This window comes from Homo sapiens, chromosome 9, assembly GCF_000001405.40.
Source record: "Homo sapiens chromosome 9, GRCh38.p14 Primary Assembly".
NCBI classification, from domain to species: Eukaryota; Metazoa; Chordata; class Mammalia; order Primates; family Hominidae; genus Homo; species Homo sapiens.
Genome location: NC_000009.12, coordinates 37,669,943 through 37,697,339, shown reverse-complemented (window position 1 = coordinate 37,697,339; position 27,397 = coordinate 37,669,943). Strand labels below are relative to the sequence as shown.

At 41.9% G+C, this 27,397-nt stretch overlaps 1 protein-coding gene across 8 annotated transcripts in view; it reads right to left on the bottom strand.

Annotated features, from left to right (window-relative positions):
* Positions 1 to 27,397, bottom strand: part of FRMPD1 (FERM and PDZ domain containing 1) — a 143,676-nt gene that overhangs the window by 49,565 nt on the left and 66,714 nt on the right. For all 8 annotated transcript variants that reach the window (XR_929220.3, NM_001371224.1, NM_001371225.1 and 5 more), the window contains one exon: positions 4,598 to 4,702. Coding sequence is in view for 7 of the 8 variants with exons in the window: in NM_001371224.1 (NP_001358153.1) it covers positions 4,598 to 4,698 (101 nt within the window). In the remaining variant the exon portion in view is untranslated. The remainder of the gene's footprint in view (positions 1 to 4,597; positions 4,703 to 27,397) is intronic.

Here is a 27,397-nt window from a genome sequence, read left to right as displayed (position 1 = left end):
GCATGAACCACTGGGCCTGGCCGAGTTTAGCTATTTCTAAAAGAACATTGATACTGTAAATGTTATTTTTCCGTTGGAATATGAAATCGAGTGGTAACAGAGGAGTCATCCTTATCATATCTGCACAATTTCCCATTCCTGTAACTATAGGTCTCACCAGTTTACTCCTACCCAAACAGGGACACTCATTCAAACTAAGGGCTACCAACTGAATTTGACTAATGATTGTAACAATAACCACCTACTGAAAATTAATCTAAAATTTAAGAAATCACAGGAACTTTGAAAGTTGACACTATTCCTCAGTAAAATACCTGTTTAAGATTCTCTATAAAGCTCTAACATTACTCTGTGTGTATAAAAGTTATCAATTTGTTTAGTAATGCCTGGAAATGGAAATGGTTATTTTTGACTAATTTACTCCTAGACAACTCACTTAGAGCCACAGATAGAGTTTAAATTTTATGGGAAAAAAATGCCAAAGACAAGTAAAGCAAGTACAACTGGCTGAAACGACTGAGTTTTTAAAAGTCAGAAAAAAACAGAATTGCTAAAATATGCATGTAAAATTATGTGACTACAGATGCATATCTGTGTTTCTTCCTTCTGCACTATAGAGGACATTTCAATACACTTCCTTGATTTCTTGCCCCAGCTACCAGGAAATTCAGGGCTAATGTTAGTATTCAAATGCTAAATCCTTAGTCTCATTGGTTTGCAATCTATTTCTAACACTTCTTGTTTAATTTTCCCACATGTTTTAAAACTGTAATCATTAAAAATTCCTTTTGGAAGAAGGAGGGATGTGCATTTTAAATATATTTCAATGAATAATACAGTCCCCTACTATAAAAGCCCTTAATCAGTAAAAATTTATTGAATGTCCGTTACATACTATGGACTCTGTTAAGGCTGACGATACTTTGTGAAACAAAACAGTCAGGGTCCCTGGTCTCATATATGAGAGGAAGGTTGGGGGAGAAAAGCCATATGATGGCAGAGGTGATAATGAACAGGTAAATAAATATATATATAATTATAAAGCGTGATGAGCAGGTAAGTACCCTGGAGGAAACAAGCAAGAGAATGGACTCCCTGTGCCTTGGGTGGTCAGGAAAGGCCTCTTAAAGAAGGTGATGTTTAAATTTAACCTGATGAAGAAGGACCTGTCATAAAAACAGGAAGTAAAAGAACTTTCCAGGCCAACTGAACAGCAAGTGCAAAATCCCTGAGATAGGAAAGAGCTCGATGACTTCTAGATATTAAAAAAAAAAAAAAAAAAAAAAAAGCAAAACAATGGAGAACGGTGAGCAAGGAAAGAAGAGGAACAAGGTGAGGCTGGACAGTTGGGCTGGTGAGAGATTGTGAAGAGACTTGTAGGTCATGGCAAAATGGTAGGTGAGCCACTGAATGGTTTGGGGTGGGGTCGAGCTGGGAGCTAGCATGGGACAGGAACATTTTACATTTCGAAAAGTCCACTATAGCTGCAGAGTAGAGAATCTGCTGCAACAGGGAAAAAGCAAGTGAGTGATCCTTGCGGGGGTCCCAGGGAGAGAGAGGTGGACAGTTCTGAAGGCAAACTGATAGGAGCTGCTGATGGGGTGGATGCAGGGGATTCAAGGAGTCAGGATGATGCTCAGGTTTCTTGACCAGGCAACAAGGTGGTAGGTGGTACCATTTAGTCTATTCCTAGGAAACGAAATTATTTACCCCTCACTCAGCTTTTTCAGTTATTGATCATTTTCTAGTAATCTGAGGACACCAAAGATTACAGATGAGAAGAAATTCACACAAGGCTACAAATGATTTATCCTAGAAACATGGAAATTATGTCTTCCATGGGCAGTGACAGGAAACTTTATCTCTTTGTTTTTCTCTTTCTCAAGCACTTGGAAAGCAAAACTCCCTAGACACATGGGAAGATGTTTAATATCATTAACCACCAAGGAAATGCAGATAAAAACCACAATGAGACAACATTCCACACCCACTAGGATGGCTACAATAAAAGAGATAACAGCAAGTGTTGGCAAAGATGTAGAGGCACTGAAACTCTCACATACTGCTGGTGGAAATGTAGAATGGTATGGCCACTCTGGGAAACAGTCTGATAGTTCCTCAAAAGACTAAACACAGAGTTGTTATGTGGCCCAACTATTCCACTCCTAAGTATATACTCAGGAGAACTGAAAATATGTGTTCAAACAAAAACTTTTACACAATTGTTCATAGCAGCATTATTCATAATGGCCCAAAAGTAAAAACAACTCAAATGTTCACATCACAGACATATCTATCTATCTATCTATCTATCTATCTATCTATCTATCTATTCTTATTTGGCTTTATATATCAACCCAAATGTTTATGTTAAATCAACTGATGAATGAACAAAGAAAATATTCCATAATGGAATATTATTTGACAATAAAAAAGAATGAAATACCAATCCACACTATGACATGTCATACTGATCCATGTCAGTATGATAAGCAAAAGAAGATAAGCAAAAGAAGAACACATTATGGTAAGTAAAATAATATATTATGCTAAGCGAAAGAAGCCAGTCACAAAAGATCACATACTGTATAATTCCATTTATGTGAAATATCCAGGATAGGCAAATCTACAGAGATAGACAGTAGCATGGTGGCACGCGCCTGCAGTCCCAGCTACACGGGAGGCTGAGACACGAGGCAGAAGGCAGAGGCTGCAGGTGAGCTGAGATCACACCACTGCACTCCGTCCTGGGCAACAGAGTGAGACTCTGTCTCAAAAAAGAATAAAAGAAAGTAAATTAGTGGTTACCTGGGGCTGGCAGAGGGGAGAATAGGAAGTGACTGCTAAAGGGCACAGGGTTTCTTTTTATAGTATTGAAAATATTCTAAAATTAGATAGCAGTGATGGTTGTCACCTTTCATTTACAGTCTGTGAGAAGGCAAGATGTTAAGAGGGTTCCAAGGTCAAATATCCAGGCAACATCAAGTTAAACAGGTCTCTTTCTCTGCGAGACTTCTCAGAGCCTTTAATCTGTATTACATGCATAATGTGTATAATAAATCACCAAGTCGGGGAAGGCAGAAGTAGGATATAGGATGCATCATTTCCCAAACATGTATGGCCACAGAATCTCTTTTAATGGAGCAGCATCACACAGGACTAGGTTTTGCAGACCCCACTGTGGGAAACAATGTGCTTAGCAGTTTTTCCATTCATTCATCAGGCACTACCTGACCACCTACAACACTCATGCAAGACAATCACTTCTGGGCCATAGAGATGAAGCCAATACTTTCCTGGACCTCACAGAAGGCAGGTCTAGGAGAAAGGAAATGAATGGGCTCGAAAAGTTGAATGCACCAGGGGGAGCACAATGCCAGTGCTACAAATAAAATACTACGGGGTCCTATGGAGAAATTCATCCTGACTCTAGACAGAGGAAGGCTTCATGGAAGACCCAGCACTTCAGCCAAGCCTTAAGCTGCGGGGGGTTCTGGCCACATGGAGATGGGAGGAAGGGATATGGCCCAGGAGCCCAGGTCCAAGGGGTGAAAGAGAAGAGAGGGTGCTTGTAGTAGAATAATAAGTGTTCCCTTTAGCTGGAGCATACTGTGAAGGAAGCAGAGTAGTAAGACAAATAGCTGGAAAGGATTGCAGCTTGAAACGTCAGACCAAAAATGTTTAAGCTTCCTCCTATAATAAATGGGGACCCATCCAAGCTTTCTGAGCATTGGGTAAGAGTGGTCCTAAACAAGTCACTCTATGAGCCTTAGGTGTTTCATCTGTAAAAGGGAGCCCCATTTTATCTGACCTCGGTGTGTGAGGATCAGAGAACTTGGCCACAGGGCAGTGGAGCCCTGAGCAAAGTTTATTACTCAGCAGCAGAACAGCTGTTTCCAGTTCCTTTGGAAGAATGTGTGTCTCAGAAACACCTGACACGTGATATTTCATCTCTGTGGCAGGGCCAGATGGGAAATCCAAGCAAAAATGAACGCTTCGAAACAGAACATATTTGAAAGTTCTCCTGTAGCAGTCAAATCAGATCTGTATTTGATTTCATTTTATTTTGTTTAGAATGACATAGGGACTGCAAGGAAGGAACAGCTGCTGGAAACGAAGACACAGAAAGACACAGAAGACACAGAAAGAATATAAACGGCAGATTACCTGACCTTCATGTCAAGTACTAAGACAAGAGGTGTGTGTCTCTATGTGTGTGTGTGTCTGTGTGTGTGTCAGAGAGAGATCAAAAGAGTGTATGTATGAGTGTGTGCTCCAGAGAGTGTATATGCATGTGCGTATGAGTATGTATGAGTGTATTTCTGTGTGTATGTCTGTGTGTCAGTGTGTTTGTAAATGTTGTAAGTGTGTGTGAGTTGGGGTGTCTCTGTGTGTGTGTAGGTACATGTTGGGGGTAGGGTACAGGGAAAAGCACTCCAGCAAAATTGCTGACCTGTTTACACTGCTCCCACCATATGGTGTAAGAACAAAGCAAGCCGGAGACAGCAATCCCAAGGTGCGGCCAGGACCAGCACAAGCTCCTCCCCCGGGACACCAGACCTTTATAGACAGAAATCTGCAAACTCAGGAGGCTTACCGGGCCGAGCTGTCCCGGGAGCGCCGAAGCCATCTTGCCACCATTTGTTCTATTCTATGTGCTTTCCGTGTCTGGAATAAACTGGTCTCCAGCTCTTCCATTTACCTAAAAGGAAGAAGAGTGTTCTTAAGATGCTAACCAAAATACTCTAAAGAGGATTTTGATAAATCAGGACGATGCTTCCTTTATTTGCCCATTATAAGACATGCTAATCGAATAACTAGTGTTCTCCCTTAGTCTAAAATCAACATAAACAGGTGCTCAATGTTCACAGAGTGAACAACTTTAGCAACCCTCAATCTTGCAGCAAACAGACTGGGTTTGTATCTTAAACAGTTAAACATAAGGATGAGAGAGTAAAATAGATAACGTTTCTCAAACTTTGTGACTGTGACCCATAGGAAGAGATACACCTTACCATGTGACACCGTCCTTCCCTCTCCCAACTATGTGTGCAACCCTGGACAATGCGGTTCAGTTTTGCCTGCATCAGGAACCCCATGGACATGGAAGCATTCTTCATCACATTGTGCAGATTCCTCTGAGCGCTGCTGCTTTTGTTCAATCTTTTATACTTAATTTTTGAATAAGTATTTCACTTACATAATTCAACACTAGCTTATAAAAAAGATAGTTACTGTATTGTGTGCTTAAAAATTTAAGAGGGTAGATCTCAAGTGTTCTTATCATAATAAAAAATATGTAGACAGTGAAAAGTCTGTCTTATATCCTTCCTTGCTCCTACCCACCCAGTTCCCATGCCCATACATAATCACTGCTCTTGTTTTCCATTTGTCCTTCCAGAGTTTCTTTTCTTTTCTTTTCTTTTCTTTTTTGAGATGGAGTCTCGCTCTGTCACCCAGGCTGGAGTGCAGTGGCACGATCTTGGCTCACAGCAACCTCCACCTCCCGGGTTCAAGTTATTCTCCTGCCTCCTCAGCCTCCCGAGTAGCTGGGACTACAGGCACATGCCTCTGCACCTGGCTAATTTTTGTATTTTTAGTAGAGATGGGGTTTCACCATGTTGGCCAGGCTGGTCTTGAACGCCTGACCTCAAGTGATCTGCCCGCCTTGGCCTCCCAAAGTGCTGGGATTATAGGCATGAGCCACCACACCCAGACTGTCTTATTCTTTTAAAAAAATTATCTTGGAACACTTTTAGATGTATAAAAAGTTTGCAAAGATAATATAGGGTTCCCATATCCCTTCATTCAGCTTTCCCTAATATTAACATCTTACATAATTATTTTACCTTTGTAAAAATTAAGAAATTAACATTGGTACGATATTATTAACTGAACTATAGACTATGTTCAAATTTTACCAGTTTTTCACTAATGTGCTTTTTCTGTACCATGATCCAATCTAGGGGTGCTGATTTGCCCAGTGGCTCAGGAATTAGGGGCAGTAAGTACAGGAGAAAGCAAGGATGAGCATAAGGTTGAAAATATGGAAATACCTACCTAGACAACTATCTCTTTCCCATCCTACTGAAGATAAGAGGCTTATTTTCTGGAGAAAACGAACAAGAGAAGCTTGGGGAGACTAGGCACAATAGACGGTACAGGAATTAAAATAGAAGAAGTAAGTAAAACTCTTCTAACTGAATGACAAGACCTCTTCCTGTGCCCAGTTCTCTGAATACTGTCAGCGAGTACTTTATATCCTGCTATGGTTTGAATGTGTTCCTGAAGTTCATGTGTTGAAAACTTAATTTCCATTGCAACAGAGTTGAGAGGTGAAACTTATAAGAGGTGATTAGGTCATGCAGGCTGTGTCCTCATGAATGAATTAATGCCATTACTGTGGGTGTGAGTTCCTGATAAAAGGATAACTTTGGCCTCTTTCCACACTCTCTTGTGTGCTCTTTTGCCCTTCCACCTTCTTCCATGGGATGATACAGCAAGAAGGCCCTTACCAGATACCAGCACCTCAATATTAGACTTTCCAGCCTCCAGAATTGTGAGAAATAAATTTCTTTTCTTCATAAATTACCCAGTCTGTGATATTATATAGCAACACAAAACAGACTAAGACATGTCCCAAGCAAAAGATTAGAGAATCCTTCTCTGGAGGACTGAATAGCACCAGAGAAAAGACCTTCAGATATTGACATTTTCGGGATCCCTGCAGGGAAAAGGTAACTTGCTGCCAGATCATCTTGCATTGAAATGTATTAATCAATGAGCCAGACCCATCATACAAAGTTTCCAATTATTTGTTTTACTGCTTTACTCTTACTTATCAATAAATATCTAAGGAAAGCATGCATTATAAAAAACAGACCAAAACAAACAGAAAAATTCAGAAGAAACAGAGACAATGTAGAAAACAGAAGAAAAAAAATTTCAATCTATAACTTAAATCTTCAAAAAGATAAAGTATTATATTCATGAAACAAGAAGAGGATTTTTTAAAAATAAACTATCAGAGAATAAGAACGAACATTTGGAAATTAAAAATAAGGCAGCTAGAATAAAAAATTCAATTATTAATAAAAACAGAAAAATAAAGTCAATGAAAGACTGTAGGAAGAGTAACCAAAGCCAAAGACAGAGAAAACATAAAAGACAATAAGTGTACAGTACCTGTCCAGGAAGTGTAATATTCATCTAACAGAAGTTCCAGAAGTAGAAAATAAAGGAAATGGAGGTAAGGAAACTGCCAAATAATTCAATAAAAATTTCTTGAAGAACTTAAATTTTCAAATTAAGAATATATACTAATTGCCCACCCTAGTGAATGAAAAAAGACCCACATCAAGTAACAACATTGTAAAATTTCAGAAACTAGAAACAGAAAATATCTTCTAAACTTCCAGAGAGGAAAAAAAAAGATTACATACAAACAAATGAAATTAAAAATGGCACTAAACTTCTCAGTAATAACAATGGAAGCTGGGAGCCATTGAAGTTCTCAAATTTTTTAGGGAAAAGCATTCCCAGTCTAGAATTCGATACCCTATCAAACTACCAATCAAGTACAAAAGACATTTTTAGATGTTCAGGTCTCTAAAAATTTACCTTTCACACATCCTTTCTCAGGATGCTGACAGAGGATGTGCTCCTCCAAAACAAGGAAGTAAGGACAAAAGAAATGAGATCCAGCATATTAGGAATGGAATATAGATAAGAGGCAAAATAAGCATCACGGATGACTGTGAAGGCATGCATTAAGGTAACACCTGTATAAAAGACCTAGAGAGCAACTGTTGAGATGCATGAAGACAGAGGTCTTAGGGAAAAGAAATAGAAATGGATAAGTTATCTGATGTGTTTGTGTAGAAAATTTCACTGAGAGGCTGTTGGAGGGTATGGGAGAATTAGCAATAAGTACATGAAAAACTAAGCAGATCAAAAACAGAGGGAATTATGAAATCCAAGGAAAATAAAAAGTTGTATAAGAAAATAAAATTATAGTTCACTGCTTGGCTCAACAATGAACAATATTTACATTGTCATGATAATGTAAACACTGAAAAATGGTTTCTAAAGGACAGTGATGTAATGATATTGGAACGATATGGTGAAGGGAAGCAAGTGCAGTAGCCTAAGAGCTAAATCCTCATTTATCATAATAATTAGATAATGTCCAAAATTAATACATTAGAAAATAAGAATGCAAGCATATTTCTAAGAAATATGCAGGAAAATACCAGAGGAAATGGCTAGAAGAGTTGAAAGAGCTTCTAAGAAGAGAAATTCAAGGGTGAGGAGGAGTGGGGCAGGAAATGCTGATTTCTATTATAAACCCTTAATACTATTTTATTAAATGATTTTTAATAATGTTTAACTTAGTTTTAAAAACCGAAGGAATATATTCTTCTAATAACATACACAGAAAAATATAATGAAAATAAAATCACTTACAATTAGCTACAATCACTACCTCCCAATTAGCAAGTTAATTTTTCATCATTTTTTATGCTTACACATGTATAGATGTTTCTTAATTAAAATTACATCTTCCCACTTATGATTTCATAAACATCATTGCATATTAATATTTAAGCATTTACACCATCATTTAAAATGGTTATATGGTATTATTTTCTCTGATCATACCATAATTTATTTAATAAATCTATCATTGGACATTTGTGATGTTTCCAATTTCTCACTATTATGAAAGCTTTACAATAAAAATCTTTATTCATGGCAAATGGCTACTTCCCAGATATTTTTGGGGGGATAAATTCCTAGAAGTGAAATTATTGGACATAAACATATGTTCACTTTTAAGAATTTGGATGTATATTGTCAAATTGCCTCCAAGAAGTTACCAATTTGCACTCCTGCCAGGACAGACCTTTTGAATATTATCACTTAAAAAAAATTTGCCAGTAGGATGGAAATTATTGACTTAAAGATTTATATTTTGAAAAATACAGAAGACAAAAGTAAATTATCCTCCATATTCTTATAAAAACTAGACATTGTCATTTGTTAAAATATTTGTTAATGGGATTGAAAGTAGCATTCAATTATTGGCTTAAATATATATTTATATATAATTAAATATATATTTGTAAATAGGAAATGTATATACTTGTATATATGTTTCCCATATAAAAATATATTTCTTGTATATATAGGAAAATATTTTAAAAATTAAATATCACACATAAATCCATCACATTGAAAATTACATAAAATAAGCATCCTACTTCAAGCATCCAACTCATTCCCCTAGAGGTTAACACAGTTAACAATTTGGTATGTATTCATACTATCTTTGTCCTGAATTAATAGAGACCTATATCATGTATATTAATACATCTTTTCTACAAAAATAGAATGTTATACTCAGTAGTCTGCACTTTGTATTTTTTAACCTGCAAATGTATCCTGTATATCTTTCCAGATCAGAACTCATCACAGCTGTGATTGGAAGTTATTTGATTACTAGCACAGCTCAACATTTTTCATGTGCTCTTGGCCATTTATATTTACTTCTTATTACTTTACTGTTTCTGATTTTTCCTTATTTTTCTGCTGGAATGTTTGCCTTCTTGTCGCCAATTTGTAAAAGCTCTTTTATAATAAGGATTATTTAATGTTCCTTTGCCAAGAACACAAAATAACATCATATTTCTTTGAGACTTACCATGGAGGATCAAGAATGTAGGTTATAGTGTCCTGACAAAACAGAGACTAAACACAGAAGACAGAAGAACAAATGTCTAGCAAAAGCCATGGGATATTGTTTTCAAATATCAACTGCCCCAGTTGGGCCCCCTCTAGGATCGAGTCCGTTGGAAATTCTAGGATATTGATATTAACTTGGTCTGTCTTATGTCTGAGCATCACGCTTTCCTATGGGGTCTAGGAAAGGAGATTTAAAAGCAAGTCATATGAAAACACACTGAAAAATCAAAGAATGTTTATTAAATAAAAACTTGGGGGTGGCCCACACGATCATGGTTCACAAAGAGCCTAAGGGCCACCATGTGGAAGACACATATTCCACATGATTCTGGAATTTAGAGACAGGATTAACGGGGAAATGCCACAGCGTGGGGGACTCCAGCTCAGACTAAGGCAAGAAATTCATGTTCCTGGTAGATCCCAGCATGGAATGAGTTTCCTCAAGAATTGTTAAGATCTTGGACGCTGAAGGTATTCCAGGGGAGCCTGCATAAACTGCATGAATATAGCAGAAGGGACACGAGGATGACGTAGAGGGACACATCCATGGAATACATGGAGCAGATGACTTCTACAGTTCCTTCCATTCATGCAATCTGAGGTCTCCACTAGATCTAAGAGCCAGGCAAGATGGTATCTGTTGCAGTCTGTCTCAAAATTCAAAGCCCCACATTACCTAGAGTAGTTGGAAATCCTGAAGTAAGCACAGCACTGGAAGAGGCACAATGTCTGACCTCTACATTCTTATAGTTTCCACATGATTGCAGAGTTGTCAGGGATCTCGAACATATCCATAGGACTGAAGGCCATCGAGCCTTTCCACGCCTTTTGAAGGTCTTCAAACTACAGTGGTTACTTTTTAAGAAACTGCTGCCAAATATAATTTAGCTAATTGGTTTCTATAAACATACATGGTTCTAATTAAGAGAATTAATTTGTGTTATATATCTGGACTGTGAGTAGGCAGGTACCTTCATCCAGGGATCCCCAAAGACTAAACAAATGCCTACATCAACCAAGCCATTAAAAGTGCTCCCTGACTCAGCAAGGTCTGAGCAGGAGAGTTTAAAGTCAAGAGAATGACCTGCTAATGGTTTTAATGTTAGCCTCTGGATTGCTGGGCTAATGGAAGGAAGTAAATGTCCACATCATCCAAAACGTTTGAATCTTCTCTACGGTCCCACTGCCAAGAAGTCATCTGGCCTCTTATGTTCTGTCATTCCCTGTTGGACCCATCTTATTGTTAGAAAGTTTCTTTACATAAAGCTGAATTCCACTCGTCTGCAGCTTGAGTCCTCCACACCAATGCTGCCCTCTGGCCACTCCTACCACCACCGCCCAGAATAAATCAGCTTCTTTTCTGGATTCAAACATAGAAATCTTTCAGCCTTTCAGTCTCCTTTGCCCCAAATCAAACATCCTCAGCTCCTTCAACAGTTCCTTGTAATACAAGATCTTTTTAGAGCACACATCAACTTGGAAAAATATCTTAAAAGGCATGGACCCTCAAATTGAACACAATTCTGGTTGCCTGGAACAATGTGAATATAAAAAGGCAAACTCTCTCAAAATATTTTGTAAATGGAGAAGACTAAATATGTCAAGGTGATAGCTATTTTAAATGCAAACAGACAATTAAGGTTATAAACCCTTCAAAAGGGATACAAAAGGTGATAATAAAAGACTTCAGGAAACTAGCACAAGCTATTGAGAAATGAAAACATCAGTGGAGGCAGCAAAGGATAAAAAAGAAACTAAAGTGCCCAAAATCACTTGCGCTAAATTGAAATTGTAGATAAAACTAGAGAGCACTTCAAGAAAAACTGTCAGGCACAGAATCAGTTGAGGATTTCAACTCACAAATAATAGGGCTAGCGGAGAAAATGGAAAAGGAACACACAAAACTGTAACCAAAGAAATGGAAGGCAAATTTTTTTTTTTTTTGAGACGGAGTCTCGCTTTCTCGCCTAGGCTGTAGTGCAGTGGCAAGATCTCGGCTCACCGCAATCTCCGCCTCATGGGTTCACGCCATTCTCCTGCCTCAGCCTCCCGAGTAGCTGGGACTACAGGCGCCCGCCACCACGCCCGGCTAAATTTTTTTTTTTTTTGTATTTTTAGTAGAGACAGGGTTTCACCGTGTTAGCCAGGATAGTCTCGATCTCCTGACTTTGTGATCCGCCCGCCTTGGCCTCCCAAAGTGCTGGGATTACAGGCGTGAGCCACTGCGCCCAGCCGAAAGGCAAATTTATTAAGCTGAAAAATATGTTTCAAAAATAAAGAACACAAAATACAACTCTCAGGTATGCCACAAGGAAGACTCTTCACATATCAACTCAAATTTTTAAACTGCAAAGATTAAAGAATCATCCTTAAAACTTGTTTTAAAAAAGGAAAAGAGAATGATCATTTGAAAAAGAAAGATTATGTTCATGTATTTTGCAGCACATTATTCAGGTATTGACTCAAGTTCATTATCTTTCTCTCTGGGAGATGTAAAAGTTTTACAAGTGCTACTTGAGACACTGTTCTTGAAAGACATCTTGGCTGGGTGCGGTGGCTCATGCCTGTAATCCAAGCACTTTGGGAGGCTGAGCAGGGAGGATTGCTTAAGCCCAGGAGTTGAGACCAGCCTGGGCAACATAGTGAAATCCTGTGTGTACTGAAAATAAAAAAAGTTAGCTGAACGTGGTGGTGCACACCTGTAATCCCAGCTAATCGGGAAGCTAAGGTAGGAGGATCACCTGAGCCCAGGAGGTTGAGGCTGCAGTGAGCCATGACCATGCCACTGCACTGTAGCCTGGGTGACAGAGTAAGACCCTGTCTCAAAAATAAAAAAAAATTGGGGAATCATGACTGACTCTTTCCCTGTTTTGTGCCCCACATTGATTCAGTCACCAAATTCTGTTGACCTTGGTCCCAATTGTCTTAATCTCTCATCTCCTCTCCTTTCTCAGTGCTACTGCCTGAGTTCAAACTTTCATTCTATCTGACGTGCTACAATAACCCCCAGCCAGTCTCCTTACTCTTCATCAATCTGTCCTCCATGTGACTGCCAGAGTGATATAAAACGTAATTCTAATCACATCCCTTTTATTTTCAAAAATCCCCCAGTGGTTCCCCTTCATCTTTAGGATAAAGTCTGAGCTCAAGAATTATAGTAATATCAGTAACACAACTATGCTAACAACATTACCACTTACTATGTGCCATGCACTAGCTAAGCAATGTATACAGGTTATCTTATTTAATGCTTATAATAATTCTCATTTACAAAAAAAGGAAACTGAGGCATGAAGAAGTTAAGTCACCTGGCTAAGCACACACAGCAAAGAAGTGGCAGAACTGGAATTAAAAATCAGATTAGCTTGCTTGTCTCTGAAGCTGGACTCAGCCATTCCATCCCACTGCCTCCCCCCAGCCTTGGGATGGCAGCCAAAGCCTTTTGTGATCTGGCCCTGCCTACCCGCCAACTTCATCTCCCCCACACAACACTCTGCAGAACTGTATTACCTGTTGTTCCCCCCAAAGCCTTTTGCGATCTGGCCCTGCCTACCCGCCAACTTTATCTCCCCCACACAACACTCTGCAGAACTGTATTACCTGTTGTTCCCCGCAAAGCCTTTTGCGATCTGGCCCTGCCTACCCACCAACTTCATCTCCCTCACACAACACTCTGCAGAACTGTATTACCTGTTGTTCCCCCCAAAGCCTTTTGTGATCTGGCCCTGCCTACTTGCTAACTTCATCTCCCCCACACAACACTCTGCAGAATTGTATTACCTGTCGTTCCCCCCAAAGCCTTTTGTGATCTGGCCCTGCCTACCCGCCAACTTCATCTCCCTCACACAACACTCTGCAGAACTGTTTTACCTGTCATTCCCCCCAAAGCCTTTTGTGATCTGGCCCTGCCTACCCGCCAACTTCATCTCCCTCGCACAACACTCTGCAGAACTGTATTACCTGTTGTTCCCCCCAAAGGCTTTGGTTTCTCATGCCCTCGTGTCTCTGCAGATACTGTTCCTTTGCCTAGTCCATACTCCCTGCCTGCACACCCATCAAATTCCTACTCACACTTCAATGAACAGGCACAGTAGTGTACTGGATTTGCACAGAACACTCCCCTCTACAGTCTGTTTTCTCATCTGTAAAAACAATGATAATGATCCCTGCCCAGCCTATCAGTCAGGGTTGGTGTAAGGCTTACATTCCATTATGCTGTGACAATGCTTTGAAAACTATAAAGTTCTACGGAAATATGCCCAAGAAACATCTCTTTTTCTGAGGTAGTGTGAGCTCAGTTGTGTGACCAAATTTGTGTGTGGCAAAAGTTTGAAGTAGAAGAAGTCTATTTCTGCCACAAAAAGGAATGAGGTCCTGATGCATGGTACAGCATGGATGAACCTTGAAAGCATTATGCTAAGTGAAAGAAGCCAGATACAAAAGGCTACATGATTTCATATAAATGTCAGATTCCATTTATATGAAATGACCAGAACGGGTAAATGTATAGAGATAGAAAATTGATTAGTGGTTGCGAAGGCAGTGGGGGAGGGAAATGGGAACTGACTGCTAATGGGTAAGAGATGTCTTTTTAAGGTGATAAAAGTGTCCTAGAATTAGACAGTGGTGATAGCTGCACAATTTTGTGAATATTCTAAAAACCACTAATCGTATAATTTAAAGGGTCAATTTGATGGTATGTGAATTGTATCTTAATTTTAAAAAGAAAAGAAAAAATGTTTATTTCTGGTGCCCAGCTTCACCCTTCTGTCCTCCTTTCCTTGACAGTAAGTAATAACCCCAACTCTGTAAGGAATCTGTTTTTCTCACCTTTCCACCATTTTTTCTTAGTAAAACCCTATAAGCATTAGAAGCACCTGGAAGACTGGTTAAAGCATGGATGTCTGAGCCACAGAGTTTCTGGTTCAGGAGGTCTAGGGTAGGGCCCAAGAATTTGCATTTCTAACCTCCCTCCAGATAAAACCTAGGGAATGCTGAAAAGAGCACTGAACTAGATATTAGGAGACCTGGTTTCCTTCCTGGCTTTGCCTTTAATTAATCCTAGAATTGCACAAGTTGTCAAGCCTCTGGTTAACCCTTTATCTTAACATTGCATTTTTCTAAGTATCTGCCAATTGTAAAATTGTATTATCTTGTCACTTAAGTCTTCCAGGGATCCCCATCCCTAAAATCCAACATCTTCCTGGATGTCCAACTCTATCTCCCACTATTGCCCCCAAAACACTGCTCTCTTGATCAATTTGGGGAAGGAGGGAAACTAACATTTTCACCTGTAGATTTCATTCACTCCTCATGACAACCCCACATAGTGGGAATCCATAACTCCATTTGGAAGACAAGACATTGAGGCTTGGAGAGGTTAAAAAACTTCCTCAAACTGGCCAAGGGGAACCCAAGGCCCATTCTTCTCCTGTCAAGTAATTCTCTGTTCCAAAGCTTCTCTGCCTCTCAAAAAAAGCCCCTAGGTAGCCCTTCTTGTGTCTTTGTTCTGATCTCTCCCACTTTCTAGGACTTATTCAAATCCTATGTAACTGTCAACACTTAGCTCAAACCCACCACATTTAGGACGAGTTCCTGGCCACCCGCCTACCATGTTTCACCAGGTTCCCCAATCACAGAGCTGCTGTGTAGTCTTGCTCTTCCATACAGCCTGTGATCATCTCCTTTATGCTCTTGTCTTGTGTTTTCTAACTTCGTATGGATTCAGGTCTTGTTTTCTGTCCCTCAGATTGTAAACTCCTTGAGGGTAGGGGAGAAAAGTACCCTGTTTCTTTACAATCCTTGCAGAGCCTAGCAGAATGCCTTCAGCTCAATCGAGATTTGTTGAATTAATAATGGCAAGTTACAGATGTCTGAAATGCTATGCTAAGATGAGAACCCCAGAACAATAAGCAGCTATAACTATGGAACCTTCTAAGCCCAAAGGAAAAGTTATTGGCAGATATTTTAGGGAAGTTCACATTACATTTCCAATGTCAATCATTTGATGTTGCCTTGGTTCATTACCGTGATCATAGCTTAGTGAGTGATAATGGGCTCACACATCTGCATGAATTTCTTAAAAAGAATTCAGATTGCTATGACACTTTATCAGGAAAATGACATTCTTAGAAAGGAAGGAAGGGGGACTTATCTATTAGACCACATGATTATTCCTCAAAGTGCAGTTACAACCAGGACCCCAGGAAGGAGTTTCAAACCTCTCTTCCCTACTCAGGGATCTCAGTCAAGTCTTTCACAGTAACACAGGCCCTGATATTTTAACCTCACACGTCATTTCACCTGTGGCCATAAGAAGCTGAGATAAAGCCAATTGTTTATTTTCTTTTTTCTTTTCTTTCTTTCTTTTTTTTTTTTTTTTTGAGACAGAGTCTGGCTTTGTCTCCCAGGCTGGAGTGCAGTGGCCCCATCTTGGCTCACTGAAGCCTCTGCCTCCTGGGTTCAAGTGATTCTCTCACCTCAGCCTCCAGGGTAGCGGGGATTACAGGCACGTGCCACCACGCCTGGCTAGTTTTCTTATATTTTTAGTAGAGACAGGGGTCTTGCTATGTTGCCCCAGCTGGTCTCGAACTCCTGGCCTCCAGTGATCTACCTGCCTTGGCTTCCCAAAGTGCTGGGATTACAGGCATGAGCCACTGTGCCCAGCCCAAATTGTTTCTTTTCATTTCTTATTTTGGGATGGCACTACATATCATTCTTCTTCCTCCTCCATCTTCCCTTCCCTCCTTTAAGTCTCTCTCTCCAACAGGAACCCCTCCCCTCTTTTTATTATAGAAAAGGGCATTGAATACCTGAAAGGCGGTTTATCATGGACCAGAGAAAAAACAATGCTCACAGCTGGTTCTCTAGGTTCTCTGAGCCTTTCATTCACGTCAAGAAGTTCTGGCTGCCTGCATCCTCTGCCATCTCACCTTGCCTTGCACACCAGATGAAAAGGAGATGCAGGAGGTGGGAAAGCACCCTGGACCCCCATCACCCCAGGGTGGCATTCCCCAAATGATGGTTGACCTCAAACTGCCCTCCTGACTTTTGCCATGTCAACAAACTGCCAGACCACCACACCTGCAAAACATGGTCTGCGTAAAACAGATTCTATAATACAGTGCCTCTCGTTTTAGCTTCATCCTAGACAACAGTATTCATTCAACCACAGGTTTGATCATGCTGGATATGTTTTTTTCTTGGTGCACATTAAAATAAATATATAGCAATTTAAACGAAAAGCACTCATTCACATATCCACTAAGATAGTCTTGAGTGTCGTGTGGTACAAAGACAAGCCTTCGGGAACACTAGTTCAGGGCATCGTCATGCCCCTCACATTTCCCATCTGCCTAACAGGATTAGACATCTCTTAGAAAGGGCTTAGCCTCTTATCTAGCTCAGTACAGATGGTCTCTGCATGGCCCTTCGAGAGCTACAGGGTGGCAACAGGAACAGGCAGATCTAATAGGGATCCAGGCTGTGCCTTTCTCTTGCTAGGGATCTGAGGGGATGGGGACCCAGGCCACTCCTAGTAGAAGACTGGAAGTTGGTCACACAAGTCATCCACTTTACCAGATAAACAGTATCCCTAGAAAGGGTGTGGGAAAGGGCTGAAACGAACACCAATGCCAACACTGGTGGTGTTGATGTGATCTGTAAGGCCTCACATCACCATGTCTGTCTTACTGCTTACCCTCAAGCAGCCTCAGTGATGGATGGCAAATGACACTGCTGAGTCAGCTGCGGCTGCTGAACCCCTTGTCTCCACCCTGGTGCAGGGAAAGAGCACTGTGCAGGGAGACAGGAGACCAGCAATCAGGTTCCTGCTCTGCTCCCAACTGGACATGTGACCCAAGTCACATCCCTTCCCTCCGTGTCTGTTTTCCTACCTGTAAAGGTAAGAGTTACATATGGATAAAATTTGAAAATACTGTGCTTCCTGAAAGGAGCCAGTCACAAAAGACCACATATTCTATGATCCCATTCATATGAAAGTCCAGTAGGGAACTCTGTAGAGACAGAAAAGAGATTAGCGGTTGCTTAGGGTTGGGGAAACAGGGCATGGAGGAGTGATAGTGAAAGAGTAAAAGACTTCTTTTAGAGGAGATGAAAATGTTCTCAAGTTGACTATGCTGATGTTAGTACATATCTGTGAATATACCAAAACTTCTGAATTGTATGCTTTGAATGAGTAAATTGCATGGTATATGAATTATATCTCAATAAAGGTGTTTTACAAAAACAAATGCCATAAAAGGAGAAAAAGAAAAGTGATGGGGTTAGAAACATGACCTCAAAGCCCTTTCAAATCAGAAGTTTCTGACTCTCTTTAAGCAAACTACAGTTCCCCAAATGCTTCTGGCCACCAGACTTATCAGTTTTGGGCAGACTGCTGCTCTCTCAAAAGATGTTTGTCACCCAACAAACATCTGGCCCTATGCCAATGTCTGTGGGGAGCAAGAAGATGCAACCACAGTGTCTGCCCACCAGGAGCTCCAACACACAGTAGATGGCAAGACCATGAGAGAGGGCTGCATGGAGGGGAGGGGCTCAGAAGAAGGGGGATCACCTCTAGGTCAGGGGAGCACCGAGATTAGAGGCTTCTCCATGCCAGAAGCACCTGTGCTGGGCCCTAAAAGGCTGATGAGGACCACAGGGCCTGAGTAGCCTACTTGGAAAAGCTAAGGGCCCAGGCCAAGTGCAGTCTATCTGGGGCTATTCTGGGCCCTGCCCTGACTTGGGAGGCTCACACAGAACATTAGGTTCCTGGAAAGTGTTTTGATGGCAGAGGTGCAGCTGACTCTGCAGTGACTCCAGGTCTTGCGATACCTTCACTTCCTTCATTTATTCTATAGATATTTATTCAGTATCCTCTATGTGCCTGGCACTGTTCTAGGTCTTGGGAGTCATTAGGAGCAAAAAAGACAAAAATCACTACTCTTGTGGAGCTTACATTCTAATACAGGTTCTCACTAGACAAGAAACAATGAACAAAAAAGGAAATTAAGACTGTTAGAAAGTGGTAAGTACGCCGGGTGTGGTGGCTCGTGCCTGTAATCCCAGCACTTTGGGAGGCTGAGGTAGGTGGATCACTTGAGATCAGGAGTTTGAGACCAGCTTGGCCAACAGGGTGAAACCCCATCTCTACTAAAAATACAAAAATTAGCCAGACGTGATGGCACATGCCTGTAATCCCAGCTACTTGGGAGGCTGAGGAAGGAGAATCACTTGAACCTGGGAGGTGGAGGTTGCAGTGAGCCGAGATTGCACCACTGCACTCCAGCCTGGGCAACAGATTGAGACTCCATCTAAAAAAAAAAAAAAAAAAAAAAAAAAAAGTGGTAAGTACTAGAGGGGAAAAGAGATAGAATCAGCATCGATGCCTTGAAGCTGGAGGTCATGGGTAGGCAGAATTTTATTCACTCTGAGATCTCCCACACATATCTCCAGAGAGCTCTAGGGTTCTGCCCTTTCTTTCCAATTCTCTGAGTCAAATCTCCAGCCAAGGGCTTAGCCACGACACATCTGGACAAATGTCACCATGGGTCCTGTTTCCATTTCTTCCTCTCTGAATCAATGCTAATATCCACAGATTCAAGAAACACTCAATGATCATCAACAATTTGCCAAGTACAGGGGCTGTGGGGGACACTGAGATAAGCAGGCACAATTCTCACCCTCAAGGAGCCTGCATTTCACCAGGGAAGTCAGACACATACACACCTAATCAGAATTCAAAGCAAAAGAAAGGAAGTGATCTGCTAGCAATGTGAGCAAAGGTTGCAAGGTTTTTGAACCATGGTCTGTAGTTTTCAAAGCACTCTCATGGGCAGATGATCTTGTTTGGTGGTCACGTCATGGTATTCCTCCTTCCAAGCTTTCACAGTGCACTACTGGACTCACAGTTCTTCCCCAGTGACCTTTCATGTCAACAGCACAGGCCTTATCATGTCCTAGTTCCAACCCCGACTCTCACTAACCTTGTGCTAACCTTGCATCCTTGGACAAGTTCCCTTAGCCTCCCTGAGCCTGTACTGTCATCTGTGAAATGGGGCTGACTTCACCTGCCCCACAGTAAATTAGATAATATATGTGAAGTTCTACCAGAATGCATGGCACAAAGAAAGTCCTCAATGACAGCAGCTATGATGTTATTCTTCATTTCAGAAGGTTAGACTCCCAGAGTTCTAGCCCATATGAAGCTGCTTGCCACCCTGGTGGGCTGAGATTTGACTCCACATTTCTGTGTCTGGGTAAGGAAGGCAGGATTACAAACCTATCATACTAATAAACAGTAACAACCACCACCACAGCACAAGCAACCAAGAATGGCTTGCAGGGCTGGGCCCAGGACATGCCTCGCAGAACTCTTGCCCATGACTATGACATCAAGGCTCTGTCCTGACTTTGAGGTTCCTTCCCTGAAAGTCCTCACCCTTTTCATAGACTTGTTGCTGGCCATGGGTTTGCGGGCCCCTAGACTCTGCATTTTTCAATTCCAGTCCCTGGACTCTAGACTCTACTTTACAGGTCTGCAGCCATCTCAAATTAAGGGATTTGGTCCAAAAGTAAATGCAATTCGTTCCATTAGATCCTCTTTCCTCTGGGATCTGTGCTGAGTGTGGTAGAGGAGATCAAGATTAAGCAGACACAGCCCTTGCCCTTTGGGTGTTCATCGTGTTATAGAGAAGACAAGCCACATAGAAAACTCCTAACCAATATAAGGCAGAGAGTGGGGCCCATAAGAACGGGCTGTCTAAAATGCTATAGGGAGTCTAGGAAGAGCTCCTGCCAACAGCAGGGCAGTGTGTGTCTCGCTCATCTCTGCATGGGGCTTAGGAACGGCTGATTGCTGTCAGGCGGCCAAGAATGCCAGATGCCGCCTGCCAATCAGAACCCTATGCAAGGGTTCAGGCCAACGGGCCACTCTGGCTGTCTTAATTAAGCCCTAATTAAGCATTCTATCCGGAAACCTCTTCTCCCTCCTGTAGGGCTGCCCAGTTTACAGCAAACAATTCAGGGAGCCGGGTCAGCTGTTAGGAGGTGGCAGCCAGTAGGAGTGGCACCAACAGCTGTGAATGAATGCCAACTCGATTCAGAGATCGCCGAAAACCGCAGGACCCAGGAACTCAGAAATTCAGCCCTAATTAAGCATTCTGCCCTCTGTCCCTAACCTCAGTAGAGAAGTGTCCAGTTTGAGTCACCCCACTTTAAAAGTACATAGAGATGATCAGGGCTGGGAGTTCTGCCTAAGGAAAACAGGAAAACACTATGCAGCAAGATGCTCCCCGAGACACGAGCTCTAGGAACGAAAAACAGAACTGGCCACAGAAGCATGCTTACTGCATGTCTTCTTCCTTGAATTTCCAAAAAATGAGAACCAGAAACCATGTAACATTCCAGAAAAAGCCTTTTCTGGATTTAATGTGAGTATAAACCACAGGCCATAAAGCCATATCTATGCTCTGGGTACAACTGTAAAAGTGATGCGGAGCGCAGACAGGCGAGAACACAAAACAAGCTTGATCTGATGGATGCTGGGTTTAGGCAGCCAATTCTTTTTGTTTCTATTTTAATTCCCATTGTTACTGTTTGTGCAGCAATGATACCTCTTTTAAGGATTAGAGAGATGATCTCTCAGAAGAGAATCAAAGCTTTACAGGTTGAAGCAAAGGTTCTCCAGGGAGTGGCAACAGGACAGGTGAACACACACCAGTTCGAGCAGCAGCAGGTGCACACCTCGTTTTGCCCTGGCACTGCGCCCTGTGTGGCTCTCAGCAAGTCTCTTCTTCTAATACCTCCATTTCCATCTCTAGATCTAGAAGGATTCTAAGGCCCCTGCCACCTCCAAGTTCATAATTCTGACTGGTGGAGAGGTCAGATCAGAGGTCTAATCTATTCTCTCATGTGCAGGCACTCACCAGCCCATGCTGGGACACACCTGTGGCACCTACATCATGAGCACCATTAAACACCCTACTCTCCCCACTTCCCAAGCCCAGAACCCAGGCATCCACCTGAGAGTCTTTGTACCCTCCCCCCATATCCAACCACTTTCCAACTCCTGTAAATGTGACCTCCTTAACAATCTCTCAAGTTTCCACTTCTTTCTATCCCCACCACCATCACACACATTCAGGCCACCATGATTTGTATTTTTTTTTTTTTTTTTAGACAGTCTCACTCTGTCACCCAGGCTGGAGTGCAGTGGCACGATCTCGCCTCTCCGCAACCTCCATCTCCCAGTTTCAACCGATTCTTGTGCCTCAGCCACCCGAGTAGCTGGATTACTGGTGTGCGCCACCACTCCGATTCATTTTTATATTTTTAGTGGAGATGGAGTTTCACCATGTTGGCCAAGCTGGTCTCAAACTCCTGACTTAGAGTGATCCAACCACCTCAGCCTCCCAAAGTGCTGAGATTACAGGCATGAGTCACCGTGCCCCACCATGATCTCTTCCTTACGTGGATCATTGTAGCACCCGGTCTCCCTGCCTTCAGTCTTGCTCCTCTTCCAATCTATTCCACACACCACAGAGTAATCTTTCTCAAAGATGAAAGTTTGACCTTGTCACTTTCCTGTATACAACTCTATAATGTCACCCCATAACTTTTAGGATCATTTTTTAGGGCCCATGGTGTGAATTCTAAAGCCAGACCTCTTGGGCTCTGATATGGTTTGGTTTGGCTGGGTCCTCGTTTAGATCTCAACTTGAATGTATCTCCCAGAATTCCCACATGTTCTGGGAGGGACCCAGGGAGAGGCAACTGAATCATAGGGGCTAGTCTTTCCTGTGCTATTCTCATGATAGTGAATAAGTCTCACAAGATCTGATGGGTTTATCAGGGGTTTCCACTTTTGCTTCTTCCTCATTTGCTCTTGCCGCCACCAGGTAAGAAGTGCCTTTCGCCTCCCACTGTGATTCTGAGGCCTCACTAGCCATGTGGAACTGTAAGTCCAATTAAACCTCTTTTTCTTCCGAGTCTCAGGTATGTCTTTATCAGCAGCATGAAAACAGACTAATACAGTAAATTGGTACCAGTAGAGTGGGGTGTTGCTGAAAAGATACCCCAAAATGTGGAAGCGACTTTAGAACTGGGTAACAGGCAGAGGTTGAAACAGTTTGGAGGGCTCAGAAGAAGGCAGGAAAATGTGGGAAAGTTCGGAACCTCCTAGAGACTTGTTGAATGGCTTTGACTGAAATGCTGATAGCAATATAAACAATAAGGTCCAGGCTGAGGTGGTCTCAGACGGAGATGAGGAACTTATCGAGAACTGGAACAAAGGTGACTCTTGTTATGTTTTAGCAAAGAGACTGGCAGCATTTTGCCCCTGCCCTAGAGATTTGTGGAACTCTGAACTTGAGAGGGATGATCTAGGTTATCTGGCAGAAGAAATTTTTAAGCAGCAAAGCATTCAAAATGTGACTTGGGTGCTGTCAAAGGCATTCCGTTTTAAAAGGGAAACAGAGTATAAAAGTTCAGAAAATTTGCTGCCTGATGATGCAATAGAAAAGAAAAACCCATTTTCTGGGAGAAATTCAAGCCAGCTTCAGAAATCTGCATAAGTAGCAAGGAGCCTAATGTTAATCCCCAAGACAATAGGGAAAATGTCTCCAGGCCATGTCAGAGACCTTCATGGCAGCACCTTCCATCACAGGCACAGAGGCTCAGGAGGAAAAAGTGGTTTCATAGGCCAGGCACAGGGTGCCCCTGCTGTGTGCAGCCTAGGGACTTGGTGCCCTGTGTCCCAGCTGCTCCAGCCATGGCTGAAAGGGGCCAATGTACAGCTTGGGCTGTGGCTTCAGAGGGTGGAAACCCCAAACCTTGCCAGCTTCCACGTGGTGTTGAGACTGCAGGTGCACAGAAGTCAAGAATTGAGGTTTGGGAACCTTTGCCTAGATTTCAGAAGATGTATGGAAATGCCTGGATGCCCAGGCAAAAGTTTGCTGCAGGGGTGGGGCCCTCATGGAGAACTTCTGCTAGGGTAGTGCGGAAGGGAAATGTGGGGTGGGAGCCCCCATACACAGTCCCTACTGGGGCACTGCCTACTGGAGCTGTGAGAAGAGGGCCAACATCCTCCAGACCCCAGAATGGTAGATCCACCAACAGCTTGCACCAGGAGCCTAGAAAAGCCGCAGACACTCAACGCCAGCCCATGAAAGCAGCTGGGAGGGAGGCTGTACCCTGCAAAGCCACAGGGGCGGAGCTGCCCAAGACCACGGGAACCCACCTCTTGCATCAGCTTGACCTGCATGTGAGATGTGGAGTCAAAGGAGATCATTTTGGAGCTTTAAAATTTGACTGCTCCACTGGATTTTGGACTTGCATGGGCCCTGTAACACCTTTGTTTTGGCCAATTTCTCCCATTTGGAATGGCTGTGTTTACCCAATACATGTACCCCCATTGTATCTAGGAAGTAACTAGCTTACTTTTGATTTTAAAGGCTCATAGGCAGAAGGGACTTGCCTTGTCTCAGATGAGACTTTGGATTGTGGACTTCTGGGTTAATGTTGAAATGAATTAAGACTTTGGGGAACTATTGGGAAGGCATGATTGGTTTTGAAATGTGAGGATATGAGATTTGGAGGGGCCAAGGGCAGAATGATATGGTTTGGCTGTGTCCCCATTCAAATCTCAACTTGAATTGTATCTCCCAGAATTCCCACATGTTCTGGGAGGGACCTAGAGGGAGGTAATTTAATCACGGGGCTGGTCTTTCCTATGCTAGTCTCATGATAGTAAATAAGTCTCATGAGATCTGATGGGTTTATTGGGGGCTTCCACTTTTGCTTCCTCCTTATTTTCTCTTGGTTCTTGCCTCCTGCCATGATTCTGAGGCCTCCCCAGCCTGTGGAACTGTAAGTCCAATTAAACCTCTTTTTCTTCCCAGTCTCGGGTATGTCTTTATCAGCAGGGTGAAAACAGACTAATACAGGCTCATATCTCAGCCATGCCACTTGCTAGATCTGTGACTATGGGCAGGTTACTTCACAGTTTTGTGCTTTGGTTTTCCCACTTATAAGATGCCAGTAACAACAGTACCTACCTCATAAGGTTGTTGTGAGAATTAATGAGGTAATGCATGGAAACAGCTTACAACAGTACCAGGCATTTGATAAGCCCTTCGTAAGTGGTACCTGCTGTTATTATTTACAGGACTTCAAGGACCTACCTGTGCAGGCCCCACTCCCCCTCTCAAGCCTCTTCACTTTCCTCTGTCTTACTGCTCTCCACTTCCCAGGAGGTTCCAGACCTAGTGGATCTCTTCCTTTTTTGTTCATGGCACGGAGCCTCTGCATGTGCTGTTTCATTGCCAGGTACACCCTTCCTGCTGCTGGCTTCTCCAACTGACTTTTTAAATAGGTTTATTGAGATATGATTCACATAGCATACAATTTACCAATTTAAAGTACACAAGTCAATGGTTTTTAGTATATTCATGGAGCTGTGCAACCATCACCACAATCCATTTTGAAGCATTTTCATCACTCCAAAAAGAAAGAAACCTCATACTCATTAGCAGTCCATTTCCCCCCAGTTGTCTCCCCGCAAGCTTAGGCTAACTAACCTACCCCAATTGTTTTGTTTGTTTGCTTGTTGTTTTTTGTTGTTGTTGTTTTGAGATGGAGTCTTGCTCTGTCACCCAGGCTGGAGTGCAGTGGCACGATCTCAGATCACTGCAACCTCTGCCTCCCAGGTTCAAGCGATTCTCCTTCCTCAGCCTCCTGAGTAGCTGGGATTACAGATGCCCACCACCACGCCCGGCTAACTTTTGTATTTTTAGTAGAGATGGGGTTTCATCACGTTGACCAAGTTGGTCTCAAACTCCTGACCTCAGGTGTTCCACCCGCCTCGGCCTCCCAAATTGCTGAGATTACAGGAGTGAGTCACTGTGCCAGCCCCCAATTAGTTTTCAGGTCTCAGTTTATATCCCACTTGTTAAGTTTTCTCTGACCTCTACTCGGGGTCGGTGCTTTCACAGTACCCAGTATTTTCCCTCTCTCAGACTATATTTGACTATTTACTTGTATATATCCCCTGCTAGAATATAAGTTCCACATTGAGCAGGGCCGTGGTTGTCTGATTCACCATGATTTTTCAGTGCCTAATAGATGTTCACTAAATACTCATTGAATGACTAAAATCAATGGTGCTAACTAGCCAAAGCCAAGGCCCTATAAAGAGAGCCCTACTGAAAAAAACAACGGTAACAGAGCCTTCTCTATACTACAAATACTAGAAGTCATAACATATTTAAATATTCATGACATTCAAGTTTCCTACAACTATTCCCATTAGAGCCACCACTGAAATAAGGCAGATCCTTGCAAAATGAGTTTGATTTAGGCACTTTAACAAAGTAAGTCCTTGAGTGAGAGGGAAAACAGCTCTGGAGGCTGAGTAGGAAAAGGCAAGAAAGAGCCTTTAGGTGTTCAATAGCCTTTAGGTGTTCAATACTTGTAGATTTTATGTGATCTAGCATTACCAGGTTATTACTGGATAAAATGAATATGAACACATTTTGTTTAAAAGAAAATGTTCAAAAGAAAAGAAGGAAGAAAGAAGTTAGTTCTGGAAGTTTCCTATAAAGCCATTCTGATAAGTGATTCTTATTTTCCTGCAGATTCCCCATTATAACGTTACAGCTGCATTCCCCAGACAATAAACTATGCCCTGGATGCTTATTTCAAAATCCAACGATCACCAGAAGAAAGGCAATTACCTCCCAATTAAACATTAAGACAATTTTTCAATCTATCAACAAACTGCTGCAAAGCAGTTACAAAATAAAAACAACGAAAGTCTCCCTCTCACATACTTCAGTCTACTTCACATGCTGATGGCAGATTAACTTTACTGAAAGCACAGCTTGGTCATACCTCCCCCTTATTCAAAACCCTTCAATGACTCCCCATTGCCTTCAGGATAAAGAACAAACTCCTAAGTGAGTATTTGAAGATCCTTCTCCATTTGACACTGACCTAGTTACATGGCCTCATTTCTTTCTAATCATCTTCACATAACCCCCATCCTAACAAATTGCACTGAGCCTCCCGCCATGCTTTGATCTTTTTGCACCTTTGCCTAGAATGTTATTTACCCACGCCCAAACTCTCAATGTCAAATTCCACCTCCTTTTAAGCTTCGTCTAAATGCTGCTGTCTTCATGAAGTCCTCCCTGCTGTCCTCCTCCCTCATACATGCTTTCTACCATCTCTAGGCTTCCACAACCATTTTACTAAAGATGATTCTCCTGTATTTATCACTGGCTAGCTTGGATTATAGTTATTTTTGAACATGTTCTCTACCTCCTGATAAACTCGAATACGTCTCCCCCAGCACTTAACATGAGCCATGCAAATACAAGGTACAAAAAATCTGCAGAATGAATGAATAAAATAACAAATAAATGATAGAAAACCCAGTATAATACAGTTAGACACAGTCTAATTTATCAGTGTGCTTAGAGAAGTAGCAAGTTTTAAACGCAGAAAACATACCTCAGTGGTTGAGACGTTTTTTTCTACCTGCAAACCTGTTTCTGTTCAAATCCCCTATTTACTTTCTTTTTTCTTTTCTTTTTTTTTTTTTGAGAGAGAGTTTTGCTCTTGTTGCCCAGGCTGGAGTGCAATGGCGTGATCT